The following is a 25,275-nucleotide window of genomic DNA, read 5'->3' as shown; positions in this document are numbered from 1 at the left end:
CTGGCACTCGAGGCTTACCCAGCCCAGATCCCTGAGCCTGTCAGGAGGATACCACGCTGCCTAGTACCCTCTGCTTCTGCCCCAGGCCTTCCCTCAGGCTGCTCCCTGCCCCTGCACCAGGCTCCTCCTCTTCACAGCCCCTGATGTGCCTACTGGAATGCCACCTGCCTCCAGAGCCCAGCACAAAGGCCTCCTCCTCCAGGAAGCCTTCTGATGTCCCCTCAGATGCAAGCCATACAGGCTACTTGAGAATGGTTCAACCTGGTGCCCAGCACAGGGATGGCCTAGACTAGAGGAGAGCCCAGGAGAGCCTGGCCACCAACATCCGTCTTGCCTAAAGTCCTCGCCTAGCCCCAGAGGGAACCCTGATCCCCAGGGATCTTGGAAGCCAAGGCTGAGACTCTTCCCTGACCTCCTCCAGCCAATCCCACTCCCCAAATCCATCTTCACCCAGCAGCCCTCAGGAGGCTGCACTCTCCCCTGGAGACCCCCACCTCTGGGCCGGGAGGGTCCGCTGTGGTCTGGGAGAGCGCCACCAATGGCCTTGCCTGGCTTGGCAGAGATCCGTCCCTCCCACGTTACCCCTACTCTAACCCTCACCCCAGGCCTGGCCCTGCCCACCTGTTCTCGGGAGAGAAGAGGTAGACAGACCAGTCTTCGCGGACCTCGCACCAGTCGGGCTTATAGACGTCGATCATCTTGCGGACGCGGAAGCACAGGGTCTAGCAAGAGGAGGACGGAGCGCCGGGGGTCAGCGATGCGCAGGGTTGCCGGTCTCCGCCCATGCGGCCATCGCGCCAACTGGGGTCGCAGGGTCACCTCCGAACTCTCTGCCCCCCGGGGGCAGCCAGGGAGGGCTTCTCTCCCAGGAGCCGGCCCAGCTCAGGTGTGGGCAGTTCTGGCCCCACCCCTCCTGCCTCACACCTGAAGCCCTAGCCGCTCCGGCCACGCCCCGGCCACGCCCCCCGTGGGCCCGCCCGCTCGGGCCCCGCCTCCTGGGGCCGCACCCACTTCTGTCCTATCCCACCGCACCAGGTCCCCTTCGGCCCCGCCCCCACTCACGTAGTCGATTTCCTCCTCATCCTCCCCGCGATCCCCGCGGTCGCCCATCTTGGTGAAGACGTCTTTGGCGATGCTGGGCATCCTGCCATTGCAGTCCTCATGCCCGGGGGCCGGGCCTGCCGCCCTCCAGGCGGCCCGGGGGTGGGCGCCCACCGCGGGCACCAGCTCGGCCAGGTCCACCGAGTCCCTGTTGTCGAGGGACAGCGTCCGGCGGTGGTGGCGGTGGCGGTGCGCCAGATGGGGCCCGTGATGAATGTGGTGGGCGTGTGGGGTGTGCAGGGGTGCGGCCCGCGGCGGCCCCTCGTCCGCGGCAACCTCGCAGACCCGGGCGCCGCCGCCGCGCTCCGCAGAGAGCAGGGACTCATGCTCCGCCGACGGCGGCTTGTGCTTGAGGCTGTTCCAGCTGGAGCGACGGCTGGCCCAGGCCGCGCTGCGGCCCCATGGCCCGTAGTAGGAGCTCCGGGAGCTGGACTGGAAGGAGTTCCCGTTCGGGTCAGCGCCCCACAGGCACACCCACGGCTGGGGCACCAGGTGCCCAAAGGCAGCCTGCACCCCCGCTGTGGCTCTAAGACCACCCACCTGGCCAGCGGGTGATGGAATGGGCTTGACCCTAGAGCTCCTCTCCCTGTCCCACCTCACTCCATCCACATCCACAGGGACATGGGGGCACATCCACCCGGAGGTTACATCCCCTCCTGCCACCTCACTTCCCTTGAGGAAGGTACAGCAAGTTAGGGCCATCTTCCCATTTTGCAGGTAAGGAAACTGAGGCTCAGAGAAGGGCAGTAATTTGCTCCTGGTCACACAGCTTGGAAGTGGCAGAAGGTGGATTCAAGCTGCAGTCTGCCTGACTCCAAAGCCCAGCTCTTTTTACCCTACACATTGTTGCTGAGATGAAAATCCAATTCTCTGCACCAGACCCCACTGGCACTAGGCCTTCATTCGTTCCTTATTGCCAGGTCCCACTCTGGCACTGGGCACCCAGGAATGCAACAGACATGGCCCCTGCCTGACTTTGGCTGGGCACCAGAGTCTGAGGCTAGACTGGCAGGTACCTCTCTTCAGGGCCCCTCCACACACACCCCAGCAGGAAGCGCCCGTCCAGAGCTCCCCACAAGGACTCACCAGGGAGCGCTGGTCATAGCTCATCCTCCCTAGAGACATGACACTGCTCTTTCGGGAGCCCAGGGCCACCAGCATGGGGTCCGGCTGCAGTGAGAGTCGGGGGGCAGGTCCCGCAGCCCCAGCAGGACCTAGGTGCCCACCCAGTGGGAGACTGGGGTCCAGGTGCCCATTGGGGGTCATGGGGATTGGGCAGAGCTTGGGATCTGGAGGAGTGAGATGGAGACAGAGGGAGGGACAGATGGCAGACAGGACAGAACAACAGCAAGGGAGCCACGAGACAGACAAACAAGGAAGGAGCAGAAATGGAGAGCTTTTCTAAGGAGGCTTCCTCTACCAGGAAGTCTTCCTGGTTGCACCCCATCACAGTGCCTCCCCTTCGCCCCACCTGCAGGGCTCTTAGCTTTATTTAGGTATGTGTGGACCCCTTGCCTTCTGTGCTCAGAACCAGCCTGACACCTCACTCCCATGCCCACTATGGGAAACAAGGCAGGGACTGTCCGCCCCAGTTACCGAGAAAGACACTGGGCTAGGGTTGGAGGATGCTTGTTCCAAGATGCCCAGTAGTGCCAGGCAGGACCAGAACCTACACCTTGACCTAAGGCCCCAAGGCTCTAACCAAGGGGCCCTGGTATGTGGAGGGATGTGGTGGGCTGCGGCTACCCCTGTGCCTAGAATCCCAGGGGTCCATGGATGTCACTGACCTCTTTTTGAGATTTCACATTTTTTCCAATTATGAACGTAAACAACAAACCATAGATAAGTAGCAGTCCCTGAGCCTGGGCTTGAGGTGGAGTCAGACGCTGTACCCTCTGCCCACCTGGATCTGTGGAGAAGGCTCTGGGCTCTCTAGGTGACAAGCGAGGGCCTGTTTACCTCCGCTGCTGTCCAGGCCTTCCTGGAGCTTATCAAACTCTTCTATGTTGGATGAGCTCTGGTCCTCGTCCGAGTAGGAGCGATTGGCGTCACCCTGGGAGAGCATCCGTCACGTTAGAATGCAGGTCAGTCCAGCTCCTCCCTTCCCAGCTCCCTCTAGAATTTTTCTATGGGTGTTTCCACCGCCATTTTGCAAATGGGAAAACTGAGGTTTGGAAAAGGGAAATGAGATGCTAACAAGAACCTAGGTCACAACCCTACATCTGCCTGACTGCAAGTATCCCCAGAGCCTCAGAGAACGGAGGGAGCAGGGCCCAGAGTCCCTAATCTTGGGGGATTTCGAATCTCAGAGATGGAGAAGCCTAGTCCTACATCCCTGGGGGGGAGCAGGGATGGCAGACGCAGTCTCCATTTGCATGCTTCCTATGATGAAGAGCTCACCACCTCATCAGCAACCCCCTCCTTTAGGGATAGGTTGCCTGCTAGAAGTTTGAATTGCAGCCCTCCCCCATCCAGGCCACCTCTCCCTCGCCCAGTCTTTCGCAGACCCTGTGGGGGTGCTTCCTCTGCCAAGACCACAGTCACCTCCGCCTGGAAGCCCTCCACCAGGATGGCCACCAGCAGGTTGAAGAGCACATAGTTGCCGAAGGTCATGAGGGCGACAAAGTAGAGGGAGGCCCAGGGAGAAGTGGAGGCCATGCCATTGTAGAGAACGACGTTCCAGTCCTCCTGGGTGAGGATCTGTTGGGGAGACACAGTTAGCCCTGGGGTACCCCTAGTCCAGGGCTAGGCTCTACAAGGAGGCATGGGAGTTGTCAGCCCCGCCCCTCCCAGGCCTACTGTCCCATCGCTTCCCCAGCAAACATGAACACGCAGCGGCCACTCACCTGGAACACAGTGACGATGGCCCACAGCAGGGAGTCGAAGTTCTTCCTGTCGGGCACCGTGTCTCCAGTGTCCGTGCGGAGGCTGAACTTGCAGCCAAAAATATGCATCCCAAGGATGCTGGGGAAAGGATGGAAGAGGCTCATCGGACTCACATGCACCAAACTGCCTACTCACCTTGTTTCATTCTCAGTCAACTCAGTAAAATGCAGGGCAGGGGGAGGCGGGGCAGCGTTGGTCCCATTTTACAGAGATGAACACTGAGGCTTAGGGGTTCATGCTTGCTGAAAGCCACAGGGGACTGAGGAACAGTGTCAGGCTTCACACCCAGGTCCAGGTGGCTTTGTCCAGAGAAGCACAGTGGACCACATCCCCCAGGCTCCCGCCCACAGCCCCAGCAGGTGCTGAGGTATGGCCCCCAGCAGGGCAGGCTCACCTGAAGATGAAGATGAAGAGCATGAGCAGCATGCAGAAGGTGGCCACGTTGTCCATGGTCTTCATGAGCACCACGAGCTGGCGCCGCAGGGCAGGCATGAAGCGCACCAGTTTCAGCACGCGCAGCAGCCGGAAGGTCCGCAGCACCGACAGCCCACCGTCCGCCTGCCCCACAATCTCCCAGATGCTGCGGTCCCGCAGGGCAGGCCCAGGGTACAGGTAGGAGGCAGCAGTAGGAGGCCAGGGGGAGAGGAAGACAGAGGGAGAAGGGAAAACAGAGAGACAGAGCTTCCATTCATCCATCCATCTGACAAATATGTTGGATGCTGCTCCACGCCACAAGCTAATCAGGGGCTCTTCACTTGGAGTCCATGGACCACCACCACCCCCACAAGAAGTCTCTGGCTAGAATCCGGAGGTCCATGGATATCACTGTCCTCTTTTTGAGATTTAACGTGTCTTTTGGTTATGAATGTAAACAGGAAGCCACAGAGAATTAGCAGTACCTATGGCTTTGTGGCAATCAAAGTAACTGGTGTCTTCACGTCACGTGACAGCCGATGCAGTTGTTTCCCAATATGATTTATGCCCATCCCTTCCTCGGAATGATAGCAGTCACAGACGCGCTGCTAGATCATGCTGTTTAACTTGACAGAAATATGTTGCTAAATCACAAATGTTTGACTATTTCGATAATTGTTTCAGTGCAACGGGTTTCCACAGCCATCTTATGTCCTTTATATGCTGGCTGGGGTCTTTGCAGTAAATGTCCCCCCGAGGCACTCTGCTGCCGGGTGGGTTGGGGGAGGGGTACCTGATGATGACAATGATGCTGTCGAAGATGTTGTAGGGGTTACGCAGGTAGTCGAAGAGCCCAAATGCAGCCAGCTTCAGGATCATCTCCAGGGCAAACATGCTGGTGAAGACCACATTGCAGATCTCCAGGATGTTGGTCAGCTCCTCCGGCTGTGGGGCATTGGGGTGGGGAATGGAGACCCGGTCAGGCCAGAGGGCAGCTGTGGATCCCCTCTGGACACCCACCCTGGCTGTGTGACCCTGGCAGGTCGGTGTCCTCACCATACCTCCGTCTCCCCACTGCCCCATGCACAAGGCCCCGAGGGCCCCTCTCAACTCTGCTACCTTGGGGTCGTGAGAGGTCTGCTGAGATGGTGAGGGTTGGGGGACCCCACAGCGCTGACCTTCCACAAATTTGGAAATGAGGCTTGTAGCACACTACCAGGGAAGTGTTCTGATACGCATTTTACGGATGAGGAAAAAGAGGCTTGGAGGCCAGCCTGAGGTCACACGGCTAAGATGCAGAGCAAGACAGGAAAGCAGGACAGGCGTCGCTAGACGTCACTAACCCATTTAGTGAGCACTTACCACGTGCCGGGAACCGTTCTATGCATTTTACAGCCATCACTTCACTTAGCCCCTCACAAGAACCCGTCTGCAGACAGGCAAGGACACGGGTTCACAGGACGCCAGTCCCTTGCCTGAGGCCACAGAGCTAACAAGTGGTGTGGCCAGGATTTGAACCCAGGCAGCCTGGCTCCAAGACTCCTGCCCTTAACCCCCGCCCATGCAGAACTTTTCTCTCCCCTTCCCAGCAATGGCCGTCTCAGGACCAAGGGTGGCTGGGGACATCGTGCCCCATGAAAGGACGGTGGACACAATGTACCTGCTGCATGCCAGGCACAGTCCTGCACACAGAGCACCCGTGGTGGCTCTTAGCACTCCCAGCAGCTCTCGGAGGAGGACATTCAGACCCAGGGAGGTTAGAGGACCTGCCCAAAGCCACTAGTTGGTCAGAGGGAGACTAGCTCCCTCCCCCAACAGCTGTGGAGCCTCCCTCTGCTCCCAGAGCTGTTTACCCCTGGTTTTTAACTGATATCCTGCAAATGGCATTGTTCAAAGAACCCCAGTGTTCAAAGCAGGCCACACTAGAGGCCACGACTGGGGGCAGTGGGGGAAGTTGGAGGGGTCCGGGTTTGGTTTGGACATTAAGTGGCTGTGTGGTCCTGGGAAAGTTGCTTCCCCCCTCCTCTGGAGTTTAGTTTCCTTATCCATAAAACCACGGGGTCGAGTGAGGAACCAATTCATCCAAGCCTCTCCTCTAAGGCTCCTACGAGGCCCAGCCCCTTCTCTCCCTGCCACGGCTCCCCTGGGACTGATGAAGTGTCTGGTGTGTGCTCACTGTGGTGCCAGGTCATCCCTGCCTGAATCACAGAGAAAGGAAGCACTGTCGTTGAGACCTGATTTGACGCCCAACACAAGTTAGCCTCTCCGTTTTACAGATGAGGAGACTGAGGCTAGGGAAACTGGGAGGGGGAATGACTTGTTCAGAGCCACCTAGCAAGGATGTGGCAGGGCAAAGGCAGGGCACTGAACCAAGCTGGACTCCAAACTGCTCTCCCGTTACACCACATGGGGACTGCAGCCAAATTCATTCATTCATTCATTCATTCATTCATTCCTGCATGGCTACCACAAATTTGAATGACATGATGTGCTGGGCTCGAGCTACCAGGGTGGGCAGTGGTGAGGGAGTCAGGGCACCGTCCCTGCCTTTGAGAAGCTCGTGCTCTGGGGCCAAAGCCCAGTAAACCAAGTTAACAAACCAAGCCAGTGTGTGCTGACGCCAGGAAAGTGGGGGGTGGCTAGGGGAGCGGTGCTAGTGGGGTCAGGAGGCAGCGACATCTCAGCAGAGACCTAAAAGCTAAGAGAGAGCTGGCGCCAGGGAGCAGAGAAGGGTGTGCAGGTGGAGGACCCAGCTGGCTGGGAGGTGGGAGAGCAGAGGACCGAGAGCAGGAGCCCCTCCATCAGCAACGGGGAGCCGCAAGGACCTGACTCCGACTCCATGTGGGTTAAAAGGAGGATGGAAAAAAAAAATAACAACCCAAGCGCCAGCTTCCAGCCTGATGCCTGGGAAAGCTAATAAAACTGCCAGCTCCTCTCAAGCCCAGATGAAAGGAGAAGGCCCATTTCCATCTGTAATTACATCTGACTCAAGAAGTCGTCCCAAAAGAGGAGTAGGACCCTGAGAGGGACCCTCGGTGGGGAGGACTGAGCCAGGGTCCAGATGCTGCTCAGAGCCAGCAATTTGCCAGCCCAGTAAGCGATGTCCGCGGAGATGAAAGCTGTAGGCGCTGACACTCCGTGATGATGATCAGCTGGCTCCAGCCGCGCGCGCCACGCACACACTCCTACCAGGGATGCAGGGAGCCACTGCCATCCAAAAGGTCACCCCGCGCCTCCTCCTCCCTCACAACAGATGTTCCTCCATTCAGCACACCTGTTAATCTTTTTCTAATGGACCATCCATCACTCATGAAAGCATTTCTCCGGGACAGAGACACACAGACGAATATAGACACAGCAAGTGGGAGCCCAAGGAGGAGGGGACATGGAGAGGGAGGGGCGGAGATGGGCAGAGACAGACAGACAGACAGATAGAGACAAGGGAGTGAGGGGCAAAGGTGGGGCATGGAGAGATGGAGACATGGAGACAGGAAAGCAGGGACACGGATGTGAAGAAGGACCAGGACAACGAAGCAGTGACACCATGGGAACCATAGGTACGGCCAGAAAGAGACACAAAAAGAGCAGGCAGACAGACAGCAGGACAGACAGACAGATGGCAGAAAGCTCGCTGGAGGTGGCAAAGACCACCCAGTGAAGGCAGACATGCTGAAGGGCTGAAAACACCAAGTTCAGCCAGAGGCAGGAGGTAGGGGGCAGCAGTGGGAGCCTGCAAGTCCCTGCCTGATGCGGGTTTGGGTGACACCAGGCTGCCCAGCCTCTGCCATTTCTGTAGGGGTAGATAAGGGTGTGCAGAGGTCAGCTGCCCCCCGGGAAGCCCTCCAGCCCAGCACCATCCCCATCATAATAATGGCAGCTAGCGTTGATTAGGCCCCTCCCATGGGCCGGGTGTGCTGAGCACGCCCCATGCATTATCTCCTCTCAATCTCAAGCCCTGTATTATCACCATTTTACAGACAGGGAGCCTGAGACTCAAAGGGAACTGACTGCCCAGGGTCATGGCCAGGCTGTGTTGAAGTCAGATCTCAACCCTAGGTCTTCTCCCTCTGGCCACATCCCCACCTCCATGGCCCAGGTGCCTTCACCTGCCCCCCTTTTCTGATGAGGCCCCAGTTCAGCACAAATGTGTCATTTGCTTGCAAGCCTTTCCGGGCTCCCCATTGCCCTAAGGATAAAACCAGCTCCAAGGTCCTCCTGAATGAACAGCCCTCCTGGCCTCCTGCACTGTCTGCCCTGCCCCTTGTACACATCCTTCTTGAGGACTCAGGGTCCTTTTGGGGGATACCTATGCTCCTGGTCCCTGTCCCTCTGTCTCGCTGATGAACTCCTAGTCATCCTTCGGGATCCGTCCCCAGTGCCATCACCTCCAGGAAGCCTTCCATGACTGCTGTCCATGTTGGTGTTTCTCTCCCTTGGGCCCCTATAGAGCTGGAATGTCAGCCACTAAGCCACCCCATTCTTCACTTCCCAGAGTCACCCCAGACCTGGATTGGCAGTGACTTGACACGTAAGGGGCTGCTGAAGGAAGAATAAAGCCAGCTTTGATCCAGCCACTGATTCAGAGGCCTTGAATGCAGTCCTCTGGGAGCTGGGGCCAGTAACTATGCCCTGGCCTGGGGTCAGCCCTACCCAGGAGGCTCCCCGCACCCTGCCCTGCTGCCCATGCGCCCCAACCCTCTGTTTTTTGTTCTCCAACTTGGTGGTTAGCCTCCAGCTCCAGGACATGATAAAGCTGCAGGGCAGCCCTGCCCAGCTCAGGGGGAGTCAGGGCCTGCATGGGTGTGTGCAGGAGAGAGAAGCTGAACAGACACTGCTCCTAGGAGCAATGCCTTCCTCCAGTTCAACTGTCCACAGCTGACCTCAATCTCCGGGAGCCCGGCTCTGTCGCTGCTCACCCTGGCACCTTGGGCAAGCCATCTACTTCACTGAGCCTCAGTTTCCCCATCTGCCTGGTGGTGATTAGATGCTCCCCCAGCCTGCCCCACAAGACTGCCAGAGGATCACACCAGGAAGAGCTGTGATGCAGTGATGGCGGTGATGATGAAGGAATCAGGCCTCCCTGGAGAAGCCTGGCCACCCCAGCTGACCTGTCCCACCTGCCCGTCACACAGCCTGGGCTACCCAGGGGGTGGGAATTTCAGCCCCATTTCACCACTTCGTGAGTCACACACAGGCCCCTGCCTGGCCTACACCCTACCTCACCCATCCCCTCCTTCTAGGCCAGGCCCTGCAAGAAACAGCATCTGCTGCCATGAGGAACCTGGATGAGCAAGCTGTTCTCTGGGTAATGCCCCCAAGATTTCAGCAGCAGTGGTCACCCTAAAGGCTTGAGCAACTGCAATCTAACCTGTCATTCAAGCACCCTGTGACCAGGCCTGAGGTCACTCTGCCCCACTTCACAGATGTCACACCCTCGCCTCCTGCCCCTCAGTGTCACAGAGCTCCCTGCCAGCCAGGATGGGGTATGGGGCAAGGCCCCCCATGCTGCCTCCCCTGCAGGAGAAGGGCTGAGGGAGTTCACCCACCCTCTCCTCCTCTCCTTCTCTCCCTGCACCCCCCTTGGAAGCCCTGGGCCACCTCTCTCTGCGAGCGCCACCTCAGACAGGGCTGCTCAAAATAAACATGGGGGCGGATCATTTCCCGCAGAGCAGTGTCTGGGAGCCGAGCGAGCGGAGCAAAAATACCAGCGGGCCCATAGTCAGGCCCTGCGCAGAGCCCAGGAGACCATGGCTGCCCCTGGAGCTGCTTTATAAGGGACATTTCAGAGACTCATCCTCCCCCTCTTACTTTAATTTTTTGAGGCTCCAGACAGAGGATGGTAAATGCACCCAGGGGTGGTGGTGTGAGCTCAGACAAGACTCTGAAGCAGTGACTCATCAGTGAGCACCTACTAAGCGCCAGGTTCTCAATGCAGTCAGCCCTCTTAGCCACTGTGTGGGGGGCTCCGTGCACCCACAATGCAGTCAGCCCTCTTAGCCACCGTGTGGGGGGCTCCGTGCACCCACAATGCAGTCAGCCCTCTTAGCCACCGTGTGGGGGGATCCGTGTACCCATTTACAGATGGGGGGTGCCAGGTGAGGAAGCCAAGTGATGCACTCCCGGCCACCCTGCCAGTCAATAGCAGAACCAGGATTGGTTTGTTTGGCTGATTTGGAATTTTTTGTTTGTTTTGACACATGATCTTGCTCTGTTGTCCAGGCTGGAATACAGTGGCACAATCACCAATCACTGCAGCCTCAAATTCCTGGGTTCAAGCAAACCTCCCACCTCAGCCTCCTGAGAAGCTGGGACTACAGACATGCACCACCACACTTGGTTAATTTGTTTATTTTTTGCAGAGACGGGGTCCCACTCTGTTGCCCAGGCTGGTCTTGAACTGCTGGGCTCAAGTGATCCTCTCGCCACAGCCTCCCAAAGTGCTGGGATTACAGGCATGAGCCACCAAGCCAGGCCAGAACCAGGATTGAAACCCAAACGTTATGTGATCTATTTGCTCTCTGAGCAGTGGCCTTCCAAGGGTACAAGAGGGGCGAGGTAATAATACCTGCCTTGAGGGTGGCTGGACTCACTGGCACCATGCTGGCACAGGGCCTGGCCTGCAGTAGGTGCTCAGTAAATGGTGGCCTGTCCCTGTGAGGGAAAGACATCTGCTTAGTAGATGAGGAAATCAGGTGGGCCCTGTGACCAGGCAGGAGACGCACAGTGGGAACAGCCTCTCTCATCTCTTAGCCTGGTCAGGAAGCCACGTGAAGCCTGCTGCTCCCAGAAGAGGCTCCACCTGGCTGGGCACGGTGGCTCATGCCTGTAATCCCAGCACTTTGGGAGGGTGAGACAGGCAGATCACCTGAGGTCAGGAGTTCAAGACCAGCCTGGCCAACATGGCGAAACCCCGTCTCTACTAAAAATTAGCTGGGAGTGGTGGCACACGCCTGGAGAATTGCTTGAACCTGGGAGGGGGAGGTTGCAGTGAGCCCAGATCACACCAATGCACTCCAGCCTGGACAACAGAGTGAGACTCCATCTCAAAAAAAAAAAAGGCTCCACCAGATCCGAGGTTGGAAAGCTTGATCAGACAGATGTGACAGAAGGAGGGAGAGGCAGATCCTGAGGAGGCTTGGGCAGGGACCGTGGCCTGGCCTGAGGCTGGACCTGCCCTGGCCGTGGTGTTGACATGGATGGGGTGGGTGAAAAGGCAGGGACCAGCTGGACCCTGGCAAAGAGCCCTCTGCAAACAGCCCTGATGTGGAACATCTGCCAATTTCCATGGTGTAAATACTCCCTCCACGGCCAATTTCAAGCTCCCAACTCTTTCATCACTGGCTTGCAAAATTCCTGAGTGTTTGGAAATTGGCCCTCACCAGCTGGCTCCAGCAAGCCCCTGGCAAGGACAGTGCCGGGGCTCGAGGGTAGCAGGGCTGTGCAGGCCCCCTCGATGCTGCCCCACTTGGAGACTGGAGCGAGCCCCACAGCACTCATTCCCTGTGGGGCTTTCTGCAGGAATGCTGCTCCCCTGCAGGCCTGGGTCAGGCACTGACCAGAGGCTGAACTCTAAGCAAGGGGGTCCTGGGGGCCCTGTCTCACCAGCTCTCCCCCTGCAGAGAGCCCTCTCGCTAGCCCTCCCCAGAGACCTTTTTAATTAAGCTGGAATGGCTGGCAAATGAGCAGCTCTGAACAGAGTGTCATGGCAGCCCCGGGAGCCCCATTTAAGTAAATTGAATGGAGCCTGTGCTTGGTGAGCTAACGAAGAGGGAGGTGCGTGTGCGGCCCCATGGGGTGCGGCATGCAGGGCCTCCACAGAAGGAGGGCCGCAGGGCAGCAAACAGAATGTCGAAATCCCAAGCCCTCCCGGGGCGTCAGTCTTGCCACAGAAAGAAGTTGGTTCGAACCTGGCCCCCAGCTGGCGGCGGGACCTCGGGCCAGTGACTTCCCCGCCGTTGGACCTCAGGGTCACCAGCTGCTAGGTGGGAACCTTCGCAGAGCTGGGGAGTGGGTTCAGGGAGTCACCCCATCCAGGGGCTGGTGGATGGCAGGAGCCAGAAAATGGTGTTTTTCCAAATGGGGCAGGACCAGACCTGCCACCCAGGCTGTCAACCCCAGGTGGGGCCTGTGGACTGAGGCATCCTTGCTAACCCCACTGCCCCTCCCTCCCGTGTCCCCACAGAGGCCCTGCTCTCCTCACACACACATCCTCCCCCAGCTCCCACCATCTCCCAGAAGCTGTCCCCTCCCCTATGTACTGTCCCCCTGGGGCCCACCAGCCCTGTGATGGCCCAGGGGCCTGGAGCACACTGTTCAGCTCAGCGCCCACTCCTCCTGTCCTCCCTGCTCCCAGCCCACAGGAGGGACATGCAGAGAGGACACACAGGACAACCACAGGGCCACTCGCCCTCAGCGCCATGGGGCTGTATGGGGTGGAGTCACTGGATGGGACAGGACACCCTGGCCTGGTGAAGGGACGTTGTGACAGAGACAAGGGGCCTTGAGGGTCATGCAAAGGTCTGGATTTTGTCCTGAGGGCAATGAGGAGCAACAGAAGTTTTGAGGCAGGGAAGAGCCCAACAAGACTGGCCCTCTGGAAGAATCACCCCAGCTGTTTGGGGGGGAATGGACAGAAGGGCCCAGGTGGCCAGGCTTGGTGGCACCTCCCTGTAGTCCCAGCTACTTGGGAGGCTGAAGAGGGAGGATCGCTTGATCGTGCCACTGCACTCCAGCCTGGGCAGCAGAGCAAAACTCTGACTCTATCTGTTTTTTAAATTTTTTTTTTTTTTTTAAAGAAGAAAACAGAAGGGCTCAGGTGGAGAGGTGAATAGAAGTCAGATTTGCAGGGACTGGCAGGGGATGCGCTGTGGTTGCCTTGGTATCCAGGCTGAGCAGCTTAGGAGGAAAAGAGCCCCGGAGAGGCCCAGTCCTAGCCAGCTTCACTCGTTCACTCATCATTCATTCGGCAGACACCCAAGCCCTTCCTTCCTCTGAGCTCGGCCCTGGCTGGGCAGTAAGGTCACATGGATGAACTGGACCCAGCTCAGCCCGGCACTTCTAGGTGGACAGACACACAAACCCAGGCAGATGGATGGGGCTGCCCAGGCCTGGGCAGGGTCCTGGGGCCCTCACACCTCTCCCGCAGGCCCGGCCCGGCTGCGCTGCACTGGCCTGCTCGTGGTGCTCGATGCCCATGCTGACGGTGTTGACCAGGATGGCCATCATGATGCCCCGGTTGAAGTACTTGCTGTCCACGATGCCGCGCAGCTTGGCTCGCGTCTCCCGCCACACATCCCCGCACAGCCAGACCGCCCCATCCGCCTGCTCCTCCTCCTCCTCCTCCTTCCCCAGTTCTGAGGAGGCTCCGTCCTCGCTGCTCCGGGCCCCGTCCCCATCCGCCTCGTCCTCGCCACCAGCGGAGCTCCCGGAGCCCGAGCCCTCCTGGCCCGAGTCGGTGCTGCCCAGGCCCGAGGGCCGCCGGCCGTCCTCATGCTGGCAGCAAGGGCAGCTGGCGGGATCGGAAGCCAGCGTGGCGGGGATGGGCTGCACCAGGGTGTGGGGCGTCGCATCCAGGGGGCTATGTTGCGGGCACAGCTCTGAAAAGCAAATGAGAGGGGCATAGAGTCGTTGCCCACACCAGGCCCAATCCACCCTGGGACACATCCCTGAGTGCGCTTGGCTCCCAGGCCCACAGGTCTGCCTGGAACCAGCCGACCCAGCCTGGAAAGGCGGTCAGGGGTGCCTGGGGAAGCGGCTGCAGCTCTCTGAGCTTTGTCTGCCCCTGTTGTAGAAGTTGGGGCAGGAACGCCCACCATGCAGGCTGTAGGAGGATTCTCTCCCTTAAGGCACATGATGGGCCCAGCACGGTGCAGGGCGCGCATCCGTGCTGACCGGCCATCCCTCCTGGCCTAGGCCCTGGGTCAGCATGGAACAGACCCAGAGCCCCAGTCGTGCAGCTTGGGAACTAGATGTGATTCTGAAAGAGTCAGGCCAATGTGGGGGCAGCCCCCGTCAGAGAAGGCCATGGTGGACTTGGTGTTCTCAAGTCTCCTGCCTATACAGCAGGTGGGGAGCGGGGAAGGGGTGAGGTTTGCTTCCCAGGGAGGGGAGGAGGCATGGAGCCCTGGGGCAAGGGCAGACCCTCACTCCAGAAGCCCCTGGGACTTCCCTCCACGCAAGGGGTGGAGGTGGGGGCAGCGGGCAGGAAGGGCCCCTGGGAAGAGGGAACTTCATCCCTTTGCTGCCCCGGAATCACAGGAGACGCCTGGGCTGGCCCTGGACTGAGTTCTGTGATCTGTGAACCATCTCAAAGAGGTGTCAGAGAGGCCTCTCTCTGCTTGGTTTAATGCCTTCTTTGTGTTTTCCTATATATTCCTAGAATAAACACATTTTGCTTGTGTAAGCCAAAAAAGTAACATGAAAGGGAAAGAAAAGCATGTCACGCCTACCCTTCATTTCCACACTTGCCTCCAGATGCCTCCCAAGCCCTGAATAAGCACCCCTGGCTCATTCACACCTCTGGAGTCAGGGCGGGCAGCCAGGAACCCAGGGGTCAGTCCCATCTCACCCCGGAGGACAGGCCCAAAGCCCTTCCCAGCGCCGGCTCACTGCTCCCACCTGGACGTGGGGCGACAGCCAACTCTCGTTTTCCAGGGCAGAGGGGAGGCCCAGGGGCAAGGGGGCAAGAGTGCCAGGAGAGGGGGCTGGGCGGCCGCAGGAAGCCCGTTGGAGTGAACACTTCTCCCCCACGTCCTCCAGCAACACCAGTGCCAGCCTTGCCCGGCCCCAGCTCCTGTGTCCGCATGCCGGGCCTGCCCACGGGCCACCTGGGGCCTCCTCCGAGCCCACGCCTGGATGGCTGGCACCCGAGGACGGGTGGGCGGCAGCTCTGAGCGTGCATTCTTCTGCTTGCCTCCCAAGAATCGATTCCCAGACTGTGAGAGCTGGAAGGACAGGGCTTTCCAGAGCAGGGCCTGGGGTGGCTGACTCCCGCCGTGGACGGCCACGTGCTGGGGGCCCCTGTCCTCACTTTATAGAGGGAGACAGGCCTGCAGAGGGTCGCGGCTGCTCAAGCGCCGTCCCCATGCCTGCCGACTTCCTTCTCAGCACCAACTGGGAGAAGTGGTATTGGGGCTGGGGGCAGGGCCCACCTCCCGTGGCCCTGGCTTGCCTCTTCCCGAGTGATCATTTCCAGGGGAGGCAGGCCCATGCAAAGTCTGGCAATGCCGGCTTCCGAGATGTCTCCCTTCATCTCCCTGACCCTTAGTCTTCCCATCTGAAAAGTGGAGATAATATTACTATCTTCTCCCTTCTCAGGACCGTTTCCTGGAACAGATGAGGCAACCAACAGGGCAGCCCCTTCCAAGCCTAAAAGCATAAACTTGGCCAGGGGCGGTGGCTCATGCCTATAATCCTAGCACTTTGGGAGGCCAAGGCGGGAGGATCACGTGAGCCCAGGAGTTTGAGACCAGCCTGGGCAACATAGGGAGACCCGTCTTTACAAAAAAAAATTAAAAAATTAGCCGGGCATGGTGGTGCATGCCTGTAGTCCCAGCTACTCCGAAGGCTGAGGCAGGAGGATGGCTTAAGCCTAGGAGTTTGAGGTTGCAGTAAGCTGTGTTTGTGTCACTGTACTCCCTGGGTGACCCTGTCTTAACAACAACAACAAAAAACAAAAGTGTAACTCTCACAGCCCCACGACAAGCACAGAGCACAGGGTGGCATGAGTCCCCAACATGCCACAGCTTTGAGGGGCAGGCCCACAGCCCCTTTGTGTCAGGTACCCAGGGTCATTGCTCAGGTGTGCTGGAAAGCAGGGGACAGCAGCAGGAACCCAGAGAAGGGAGTGATGTGGCTGCAGTGGGGGGGAAGAATTTTAGCTTTCCGAGACTGAGGAGAGACACTTGTTCTTTCCTCTCAAGTGTGGCTTCCTCCGAGGCCGATCTGCTATCTCCACACATACACAGGGATCGAGTTCCTCCAGGGCAAAGGCTGAGTTCCCTCAGCCCCAGGCCCGGCCCAGCGCAGGCTCTGACAGGTGCCAGGAGAGGGCAGGCAGAGGTGGGGACAGAGGTCCCTGGGGGCTGTGAAGGAAACACTTGAGCATGAAGTGAAGACCTGGAATTTGGAGGCTGCTGGGCCTGCTGGACGTGCTGGAAAGGAGTGACACTTGGCACGAAGTGCCTGAGTGCCGCGTCGGATGCAGGGCCACTTACGGTAGTGCCGGGGCTCCTTGGCGTGGGGCCCAGGTTTGGCGGGGGCCGGGGCCTCCGGGCCCAGGGCCTGGCGCCGGCTCTGCAGGGCCTGGTAGAGGCCCAGGGCGCGGCGCTTGGCCTTGCGCAGGATGTGGCAGACATACTGGAAGATCTCCTCGTAGCAGTCGCCAGGCTCGGCGTAGCTGGCCACCGTGCTGGAGGACAGGTAGCGCTGCCGCTGCTCCAGCATCAGCCGGTGCTCCCGTTGCTTGGTCTCCGAGAACTGGGTCGCTATGACAACGAGGCACAGGTTGATCATGAAGAAGGAGCCCACCTGTGACCAACGGGAGGAGAGGACAGGGACAGGGACAGGGATGGAGGGGACAGAAGGGTGAGAGAGGCAGAGTCATGGAGTGGGGACAGCAGGGAGACATGGGGAGAGGGAGGCAGAGGGAGATGGGGAGATGGAGATGGAGATGGCGGTACAGAGGCAGAAATGAAGCAAGGAGGAGGGGCAGGGACCAACCGGAGACACAGAGGCCAGAGCAAGGGCAGGTAGAAAGAGACAGTGAGGTACAGAGACGCGATGACAAAGAGAGTAAGACGGGCTCAGAAAAGACAGATGCAAGGGAGGGGAGATGCAGGGGACGAGTGGAAACAGGGAAAGAAAAGGGCAGGGGAGGTGGAGGGGCCCAGAGAGACACAGGCACAGACACAGATGGGGACAGGAAAAGATCGCTGAGGCCTCGCTCCAGGAGAAAGCGACGGCCCAGGCAGCTCCCTGGGCCCGACCGGAATCTGCTTCAAAGCCCAGCTCCCCTCAGACCCCTAGGCCCTGGCCTAGCCCCCATCCGCCTGGGACATCTGCACTGAGCCCAGAGAGGGAGGCCACAGCCCGTCGTGGGCTTCCCAGGCCCTGAGTCCTTGCCCAGCCCTGCCTTCTCTCTGACCAGAATCTGGCCTCAGCTGGGACCCCAGATGAGAAAAGAGAAGCTGCCTTGGGGTTTTCATGTGGCTTTATCTGTGCTTGCATGAAATGAAGGGGGAGAGGCTGCCCTGGTTGGCATTGGGGATCCCATCTCCTTGTGGCCCGAGGGCTCCACGAGTGGGGCTCCTCTCCAGTTTCCAGGCTTTCAGGGCGCAGCCCCCTCCCCAGCATTTGCTGAGCCTGGGAGTGAACTTGGCTGCCGGCCAGCCTGAGCAGATAGCTTTCATCCCCCTTGGAGGTGCCCGCCAGGAGGTTCTCCATGGCTGCAGCCTCATCAGTGATGACTGAGGAGCTAGAGTCTGGGAGGGTTGCTGGCCCAGAGGACTCTGGGAAAATCCCCTGCCTCTCGGGTAAGAAGATGGCATCCCATCCTTGTCTCAGTCACCTTGTCCACAAGCATTTCCTGGGGAGCCTCCCTGCACCAGGCCTGTGTGAGAGTCACAGGAAGAGACAGCTGGGCCCTGCCCTCTGGGACCACACGCTTGTCAGGCTCCTACCCGCCCCTGCCTCTGCAGCTGCTGCCCTGGGCGACCCGGGTGGGCCTCCATCCCCTCCTGGCCTCCACTTCCCCATCTGTAAAATAGGAGGCTCAAACCTGATGAGCCAAGAACTTTTTTAGTCAGAAGGAAGCCAGGTGCGGTGGCTCATGCCTGTAATCCCAGCACTTTGGGAGGCTGAAGTGGGTGGATCACTTGAAGTCAGGAGTTCGAGACCAGCCTGGCCAACATCATGAAATCCTGTCTCTACTAAAAATACAAAAATTAGCCGGGCATGGTGGTGCATGCCTGTAATCCCAGCTACTCAGGAAGCTGAGGTAGGAGAATCACTTGAACCCGGAAGGCAGAGGTTGCAGTGAGCCAAGATCAGGCCATTGCACTCCAGGCTGGGCAACAAGAGCAAGACTCCGTCTTAAAAAAAAGCACTGGGGGCCGGGGGCTGCGGCTCATGCCTGTAATCCCAGTGCTTTGGGAAGCCAAGGCAGGAGGATCACTTGAGTCCAGGAGTTTGAGACCAGCCTGGCAAATATAGCAAGACACTGTCTCAAAAAAAAATTTAAACATTAGCCAGGCATGGTGGTGCATGCCTATAGTCCCAGCTACTCAGGAAGCTGAGGGGGGATGATCGCTTGAGCCCAGGAGATCAAGGCTGCAGCGAGCTATGATTGCACCACAGCACTCCAGCCTGGGCAACAGAGCCAGACCTTGTCTCTAAAATTAAAAAAAAAAAAAAGAAAGAAAATTTAAAGAAGGAGCACTAGGGCCTGGGCTTGAAGGCCAAGGACCCCTCACCTTTCTGGGGTTCAGGGTCCTCACAGGAGGTGACCCTGCAGGTGACATAGCAGTGCATTTGTCCTGACTTTGCTCTCTGGACCCTTCCCAGTGTCTGAAAAAACTCAGCCCTTTCAGCCTCTCGCCAGCACTCATCGTCCTGTGACAGGGCCACCTGAGACCCAATAATAGCAGCAATAATAGTAGCAGGGCACATGTACTGAGTACTCACTGTGTGCCAAGGACATGCAGGCTTCAGGCTCTGTCTCACCTAACCCTCCTGAGAGCCCAGGAGCAAGGTGCTGTCACTGTCCCCCATTTCACAATGAGCTCGGGGAGCATCGTGCTTTACCCCAACTGTACCCTTAGCCACCCTTAACCCCACAGCGAGAGCAGATGGAGCATCCTCCAGCCCCTCCCGGGAACTGGAGACTCCTCTTGCAACCCCAGGGGCTTGTGGCTCCCACACTGCAGGATCCTGGCCAGCTTCAGGGGCTCTGTGAGCCACCCCTGCCCAAGAGGCTCTTTCCCTGCTCACCTCCCTGAGTCTTTAAGGCTCAATTCTGGCATCACCTCCTCCAGGAAGCCTCCCACCTCCCCATCCCTCCTCCAGGCTGGATCGGGAGCCTTCTCTGGGCTCCCTTCTATCATGGCACCTAAGGTGCTGTATGGTCAGACTGCTGTCAGCCCATCTTCCCCACGAGCCTGTGAGCTCCTCGAGGACAGGGGCTGGGCCTTACTCACTGCTCTGTTCCTAGCACTTGGCTCAGGGCCTGGTGCAGTGTGGGTTTCCTGAATGTTCTGGTGAGTGAATATGCAAGGCCATGGATGGCAATGCTGAATAAAATCTGGCCCCTCTCCTTTTACCTGGGGCATCTTCTATAGGTCCAAGGCCCCAGCCTCCCCAAGAAAGCACTGGAGCTTAGACAACAGCAGGTGTCTCAGGTCACCTGCTGGTCTGTTCTGGGGCCCCAGGTCAAGGTCCTGCCAGCCCAGGATGGGGCACTGCCCTGGAGGGCCAAGCGTGCCCTCTCCCACCACCAGGAAGCCAGAGAACCCAACCTCGCAGCAGCAGGGATTCAGCAGCGACTCCTGGGAATGAATCACCTTGACATTTTGGGGACTGTGCTGTGCTGAAGCTGCAGTCAGGCATGACGAGGTGGATGAGCTCACTCTGGGAAGACCATATGGGGGTGCAGGCAAGAGGGGCTGGCCAGGAAGAGGAGGGTGAGCCCACCTCCATCTCCAGGTTACCCCAACAAGGCAGGGCTGCCCAAGAGATGGGAGTCCCTCTGAGAATTCCAGGGAGCTCCACCGGGTCACTATCAGGCGACCTCCCTCCAAACCCTGCTCAGTCTCCGGGCATCTTGTCTTCTCCGTCCAGGAAAACAGGAATGAGCTGGAGCCCTTCTGAAGCTTCCAGTCTGAGGCTGCTCCTTGGACTCAGGTCATGCAAAGAATGTAGCCCAGAGACACGAGGCAGAGAAACAGGAGCAGAGCATCGGTGGGGAAGTAAGTGCCCACACATGAGAAATGACAGCAATCGAAGGTGTTGGATGCTCCCGACAGCCGCCCCTGATGAGCCCCTTCAATCATCTGCTGCCCGGTGGTGCTGAGAAACAGCCCTTCCTGCTCCCTCATCCCGGCTGTCCTGGCTCTGAGGGGCTCCCTAGGGACTCCCAAAGACCCTCCCTCCTCAGGTCCCCTGGTCCATGGGTTCTGAGCACACCTAGGAGCCCAGGCTCCCTGACACTTACTATGATAAGCAGGATGAAGTAGATGAAGTTGTAGAAGGAGTGAGCATCCATCACGTAGTACATGATCTCCACCCAGCCTTCCAGAGTGATCACCTGCAGCGCGCAGAGGAGAGAGAGCCGAGAGGACTGGCCCATCAGAAAGCCCGTAGCCCAGGCAGTGCCCCAGACAGAGGCCCCACTGTGTGCCAGAACGCATCACACATGCTGCCTCGAGTCTGTCTCACAGGGGCTGGACAAGGCACATCACATTATACAGGTGAGGAAACTGAGGCTCAGTGAGGGGAAAGCACTTGCCCACTGTCACACAGCCAGGAAGGGGACGTGCCAGGACTTGAACCTTGGTCCCTCCAGTCTACCACACCAGCGGGAGGGCTGGAAAAGCAGGGAGCCTGCCCCTGCTCCAGCTTATCAGCTGGGCCACCCACCCTCTTTGAGTCTCAGCCGCTTCTTCTGTATGTGGGGAGCCCACCTGGCAGAGCTGGGGTGCAGCTCGGTGGAGCCTGGGAGTGCACACCGCAATGAGGCTGGTGTGACTTTGTCACCCCCCACCCCACCCCAACTCCTTCCCAGACTGGGGGATGGAGCAGCCTTGAGAAAGACAAACCCTGGGTCCTTGTTGGCTTCTGGCAAATGCACAGAGTGGGACCCCCTGAGCGGCCACCCACCCTCCTGGGCAGAGGGTTCCAAAACACAGCTGTTGCCGTCACCTCACACCCTGCATCTCTGAACAAATGACCCTGATGCTCCCCAGGGCAAAGTGCCCAGGGCAGCAGAGGGCAGCACAGGGCAGCAGAGGCAGCGCAGGGCAGCGGAGGCAGCAGAGTTCAGCCCTCCCGCTGCCCCCTCAGGGACTTCTCAGCTCCCCCTCTGTCTGCTCCTGCCCCTTCTTTCTGAGGACAGCAGAAAGGTAACCTCTACCCAGCACTCTGTACACAGGGCTGGCTGCCCTGAGCGTGCCATCTGCTTTATTCTTAACAATGACCCAAGGTGAGGGGGGCTGTTATTACCCCATTTTAAAGATGGGAAAACTGAGGCACAGAGAGGCCAAGCAATACTGGCCAAGGTCCACTGCCCTAGTTCTTTCCCTACACATATCCCAGCCCATCCTCTGCAGAGTATAGGCTGACAGTCAGTGCAGTGGGGCCACGCAACAAGCCCTTTGCACGCCATGAGGCTAGTGCTGCTTTGTGAACCTGTGTGCATTATGTGCACTGGGTGACAAGGCGAGACACATTTCTTTCTGACTCCAGATGAGCTACTTGGCACTCCCTGTACCAGAATTTTGCTCAGGCTGTCCCCACCAGGAATGTCCTCCTACCCCATGATCCTGGCCTTGGTCAGCCAATCCCTCCAACAGAGCTTGAATCCTGCCTCTCCTCTCTGAACAGCCCTCCCTGCTGGGATCCATAGGGCCCAAGGCAGCCTGAGGCTCTGCAAAGAGCTCAGGCTTTGGGGACACCCAGAGCTGGGTTAAGAGCCTATTTTTGCCATTTAATAGTCACATCATCTGTGGTCAATTAGCTTGCTTCCTTTCTTTGAACCTTGGGTTCTCTGTCTATAAAATGGGCATGATAATGCCTATTCTGCCAGCAAGCTGGGCAGGTTTCAGTGAGATGAGGGCTGGCAAATGCCTAGCACAGAGCCCTGCCCACCAGGCAGAGCTGCCCACTCTAGGACCAGGCTGGCCCCAGGCCTGAATGGCCTCACCTGGAAGATGACAATCCAAGCATAACCGATGTTGTCAAAGTTGATGGCACCCTTGTGGGGGTTGGCGCTGCCCGTGCGGCACACATTGTAGTAACGGTTCCAGTTGACACAGAGGCCGCTGGCATTGAGGTCCTGGCGCCCCGCCCCAAAGTCGTAGACGTCGTCCTTGGACAGGCAGCACTCACGGCCCTGCTCCTTGAGCGGGGGGATCTCATGGCAGCCCATTATCCCATTGTCGCCCGACAGGGAGCAGATGAAGGGCATCTCATCATCCTCCTCCGGCTGGTAGTATGGGGGCAAGGCCACATCCCCTTGTCTGTCCACAGGCGAGGGTGGGTAAAAGAGGGAAAGGGGAGGGGTCACTGTCAGGAGGATCAGGAAGGGAGAGGCCATGCAGCATAGCAGGATGGCCTTGTCACTGCCTCCAGGCCTTGGCACATGCTGTTCCCCTGCCTTGGTCACCCTTCCCCACCTCTGTTATGGCCATGAAAACCCCCACTGGCCCACTGTGGTCCCCTTCTCTGGGGAGCCTCACTGTGCCTTGCACACACCTTCATTATGGCTCCTGGGGGAGATGCCCTCAACTCCCTCGGGAGTCTGGACATCTCAGCATCCCCAGGCCACACACACTGTTGGGTTCGCACAGACAGAGCAGGTGGTCAGTAAACAAGCACTGGCTTTTACCGATCTAGCAGATGACAGGTAGATCCTCCATCTGCTCCACCCACTTCCATGTAAGTGATCCTGGGCTGATCACTTCCTCTCTCTAGACTTCGTTTCTTTTTTTTCTTTTTTAGACCGAGTCTCACTCTGTCACCCAGGCTGGAGTGCAGTGGTGAGATCTTGGCTCACTGCAACCTCCACCTCCTGGGTTCAAGCAATTCTCCTGTCTCAGCCTCCTGAGTAGATAGGACTATAGGTGCACACCACCATACCTAGCTAATTTTTGTTTTTTTAGTAGAGATGGGGTTTCACCATATTGGTCAGCCTGTTCTCAAACTCCTGACCTCAGGTGATCCACCCACCTCAGCCTCCCAAAGTGCTGGGATTACAGGTGTGAGCCACCGAGCCGGGCTGCCCTTCTCTGGACTTTGATTTCCTCATCTATAAAACAGACAACAATCCCTACTATGACCATCCAGAAGGGTTAATCTATGCTTCATTGCAATCCTAATCAAAAATCCCAACATTTTGGCCGTGGAGCCTGCCCAGATGGTTCTAGGATTTATTTGGATGGGAAAATAGTCAAGACAAGCTTTAAAAAGGAGAGAGATAAACAGAAACCAGATCTATAAGAGAGCAAAATACTGTACAACTATGATTGTTAATACAGTGTAGCACTGTGACAGGAACAGAAAGGTTAATGGAATGCCATAGAGCACAAAGACAAACCCATGTACAAAGGAGAACTTAGTATATCACAGAGATGGCTTTTCAGACCTGCAGAGAAAGGAGGGACCCATCAGTAAGTGGTGTTAGGATAGTTGCTATCTATTTGGGAAATAATAGTTGGATCCCAACCTCACACCATACACAAAAATAAACTTTTTGAAGACCTGGTATCCAAAAATAGACATATAAATCATCTCATTTTTAATTGTTATATTGATTGCACACTAAAAATAATATTTGAATATATTAGATTAAGTAAGATATATTATAAAACTAAAAACAGTAAACTTCCAGTGGATTAAAAAGCATAAATGCAATGAACATCACCACAAAAACGTTATAAGAAAATATGGAATATTTTTTGTTAACTCAGGATAGGTATAACCATCCTGGCTAAGACAAAAAATCCAAGTTTTGTAAAGGAAAAGTTCGACCAGATTGACTACATACTAATGTAAAATTTCACTGAGACAAAATATACAAAGTAAAAAGACAAGCAACAAATTGGGATAAAGCAGAGGTAGGCAAACTTTTTGTGTAATGGCCTGTATTAGCAAATATTTTTCTGCAGAGCACATGGCCTCTGTCCCAATGACTCAACTTTGCCATTGTAATCTGCAAACAGTTATAGGAAATAGATAAACAAGTGGGGATAGCTGTTTCAATAAAACTTTATTTACCAAAACAGGCCATAGTTTGCTGTTGAATGGGATTAAGTATTCGCAACATACAAAGGAGATAAGAGGTAACTATCTAAAGCAGGGGTCCCCAAACCCCGGGGCCACACAGCAGGAGGTGAGTGTCCAGCAAGGGAGCATTACTGCCTGAGCTCCACCTTCTGTCAGATCAGTGGTAGCATTAGATTCTCATAGGAGCACGAACCCTATTGTGAACTTCACACTCAAGAGATCTAGGTTGTGCACTCCTTATGAGAATCTATTGCCTGATGATCTGAGGTGGAACAGTTTCATCCCAAAACCATCCCCTTGCTCTGGTCCATGGAAAAATTATCTTCCACGAAACTGGTCCCTGGTGCCAAAAAGGTTGGGGACTGCTGATCTAAAGCATATGAAAATCTCCCATAACTTAATAAGGAAAAGGAAAAATAACCCACTAGGGGGAAAAAAAAGACAAAAGATAAGAACAGAAAAATTCACAGAAGAAATAAAAAATGGCCAATATATAGGAAGAAACACTCACCAATGGAACAAAATAACCAAATGCAAACAAAAAATAATGAGATCATTTTACACCTACCCAAATGGCAAACATTTCATGGTTGGTAATATTCAGCATGGGAAAGAATAAGTGTAAACAGACACTCACATACACTGTTGTGGGAGTATACATTGGTACAACCTTCTTAGAGGGCAATTTGGCACATCCATCAATAATCAAAATGTACACATCCAACCCAAATACATATGGTCACCTGAGTCTCATACAGGCACCCCTGCAATTCAGTGGAGAAAGGACAGACTTTTCCACCACTGGTCCTGGGACAGTTGACTATCCACTAAAAATAAATCAATAAATCTTGACCCCAACTGGGGCCAGGCGCAGTGGCT

At 57.0% G+C, this 25,275-nt stretch overlaps 1 protein-coding gene across 4 annotated transcripts in view, besides 3 other annotated features; it reads right to left on the bottom strand.

The window, feature by feature from the left end:
* Positions 1 to 25,275, bottom strand: part of CACNA1I (calcium voltage-gated channel subunit alpha1 I) — a 118,983-nt gene that overhangs the window by 26,238 nt on the left and 67,470 nt on the right. For 2 of the 4 annotated variants that reach the window (XM_017029035.3, XM_017029036.2), the window contains exons 1-8: positions 5,195 to 10,609; positions 4,382 to 4,567; positions 3,948 to 4,065; positions 3,646 to 3,801; positions 3,061 to 3,154; positions 2,188 to 2,390; positions 1,063 to 1,533; positions 622 to 722 (exon numbers count right to left, since the gene is read on the bottom strand). In XM_017029035.3, coding sequence (XP_016884524.1) covers positions 622 to 722; positions 1,063 to 1,533; positions 2,188 to 2,390; positions 3,061 to 3,154; positions 3,646 to 3,801; positions 3,948 to 4,065; positions 4,382 to 4,567; positions 5,195 to 5,484 — 1,619 coding nt within the window. In that variant the 5' untranslated portion in view covers positions 5,485 to 10,609. Of the gene's footprint in view, positions 1 to 621; positions 723 to 1,062; positions 1,534 to 2,187; positions 2,391 to 3,060; positions 3,155 to 3,645; positions 3,802 to 3,947; positions 4,066 to 4,381; positions 4,568 to 5,194; positions 10,610 to 13,572; positions 13,998 to 15,571; positions 15,677 to 16,616; positions 16,930 to 20,608; positions 20,702 to 22,315; positions 22,632 to 25,275 lie in introns of those variants that run through there. The other 2 variants (NM_021096.4, NM_001003406.2) reach the window with 2 other exon arrangements.
* Positions 921 to 1,040: a silencer, noted in NCBI's record as "silent region_13763". NCBI's record gives its function as "represses an Ori minimal core promoter by ATAC-STARR-seq in GM12878 lymphoblastoid cells {active_cell/tissue: GM12878}" and the evidence as "EXISTENCE:reporter gene assay evidence [ECO:0000049][PMID:35858748]".
* Positions 7,107 to 7,608: an enhancer, noted in NCBI's record as "H3K4me1 hESC enhancer chr22:40051895-40052396 (GRCh37/hg19 assembly coordinates)". NCBI's record gives its function as "activates a minimal SCP1, AML or CMV promoter by ChIP-STARR-seq in naive H9 embryonic stem cells {active_cell/tissue: H9 hESC(naive)}" and the evidence as "EXISTENCE:reporter gene assay evidence [ECO:0000049][PMID:30033119]".
* Positions 11,355 to 12,285: an enhancer, noted in NCBI's record as "H3K4me1 hESC enhancer chr22:40047218-40048148 (GRCh37/hg19 assembly coordinates)". NCBI's record gives its function as "activates a minimal SCP1, AML or CMV promoter by ChIP-STARR-seq in primed H9 embryonic stem cells {active_cell/tissue: H9 hESC(primed)}" and the evidence as "EXISTENCE:reporter gene assay evidence [ECO:0000049][PMID:30033119]".

Source organism: Homo sapiens, chromosome 22 (genome assembly GCF_000001405.40).
Source record: "Homo sapiens chromosome 22, GRCh38.p14 Primary Assembly".
Lineage (NCBI taxonomy): Eukaryota > Metazoa > Chordata > Mammalia > Primates > Hominidae > Homo > Homo sapiens.
Note: the sequence above shows the minus strand (reverse complement) of the source record. Positions and strands in the feature narration are given on the sequence as shown.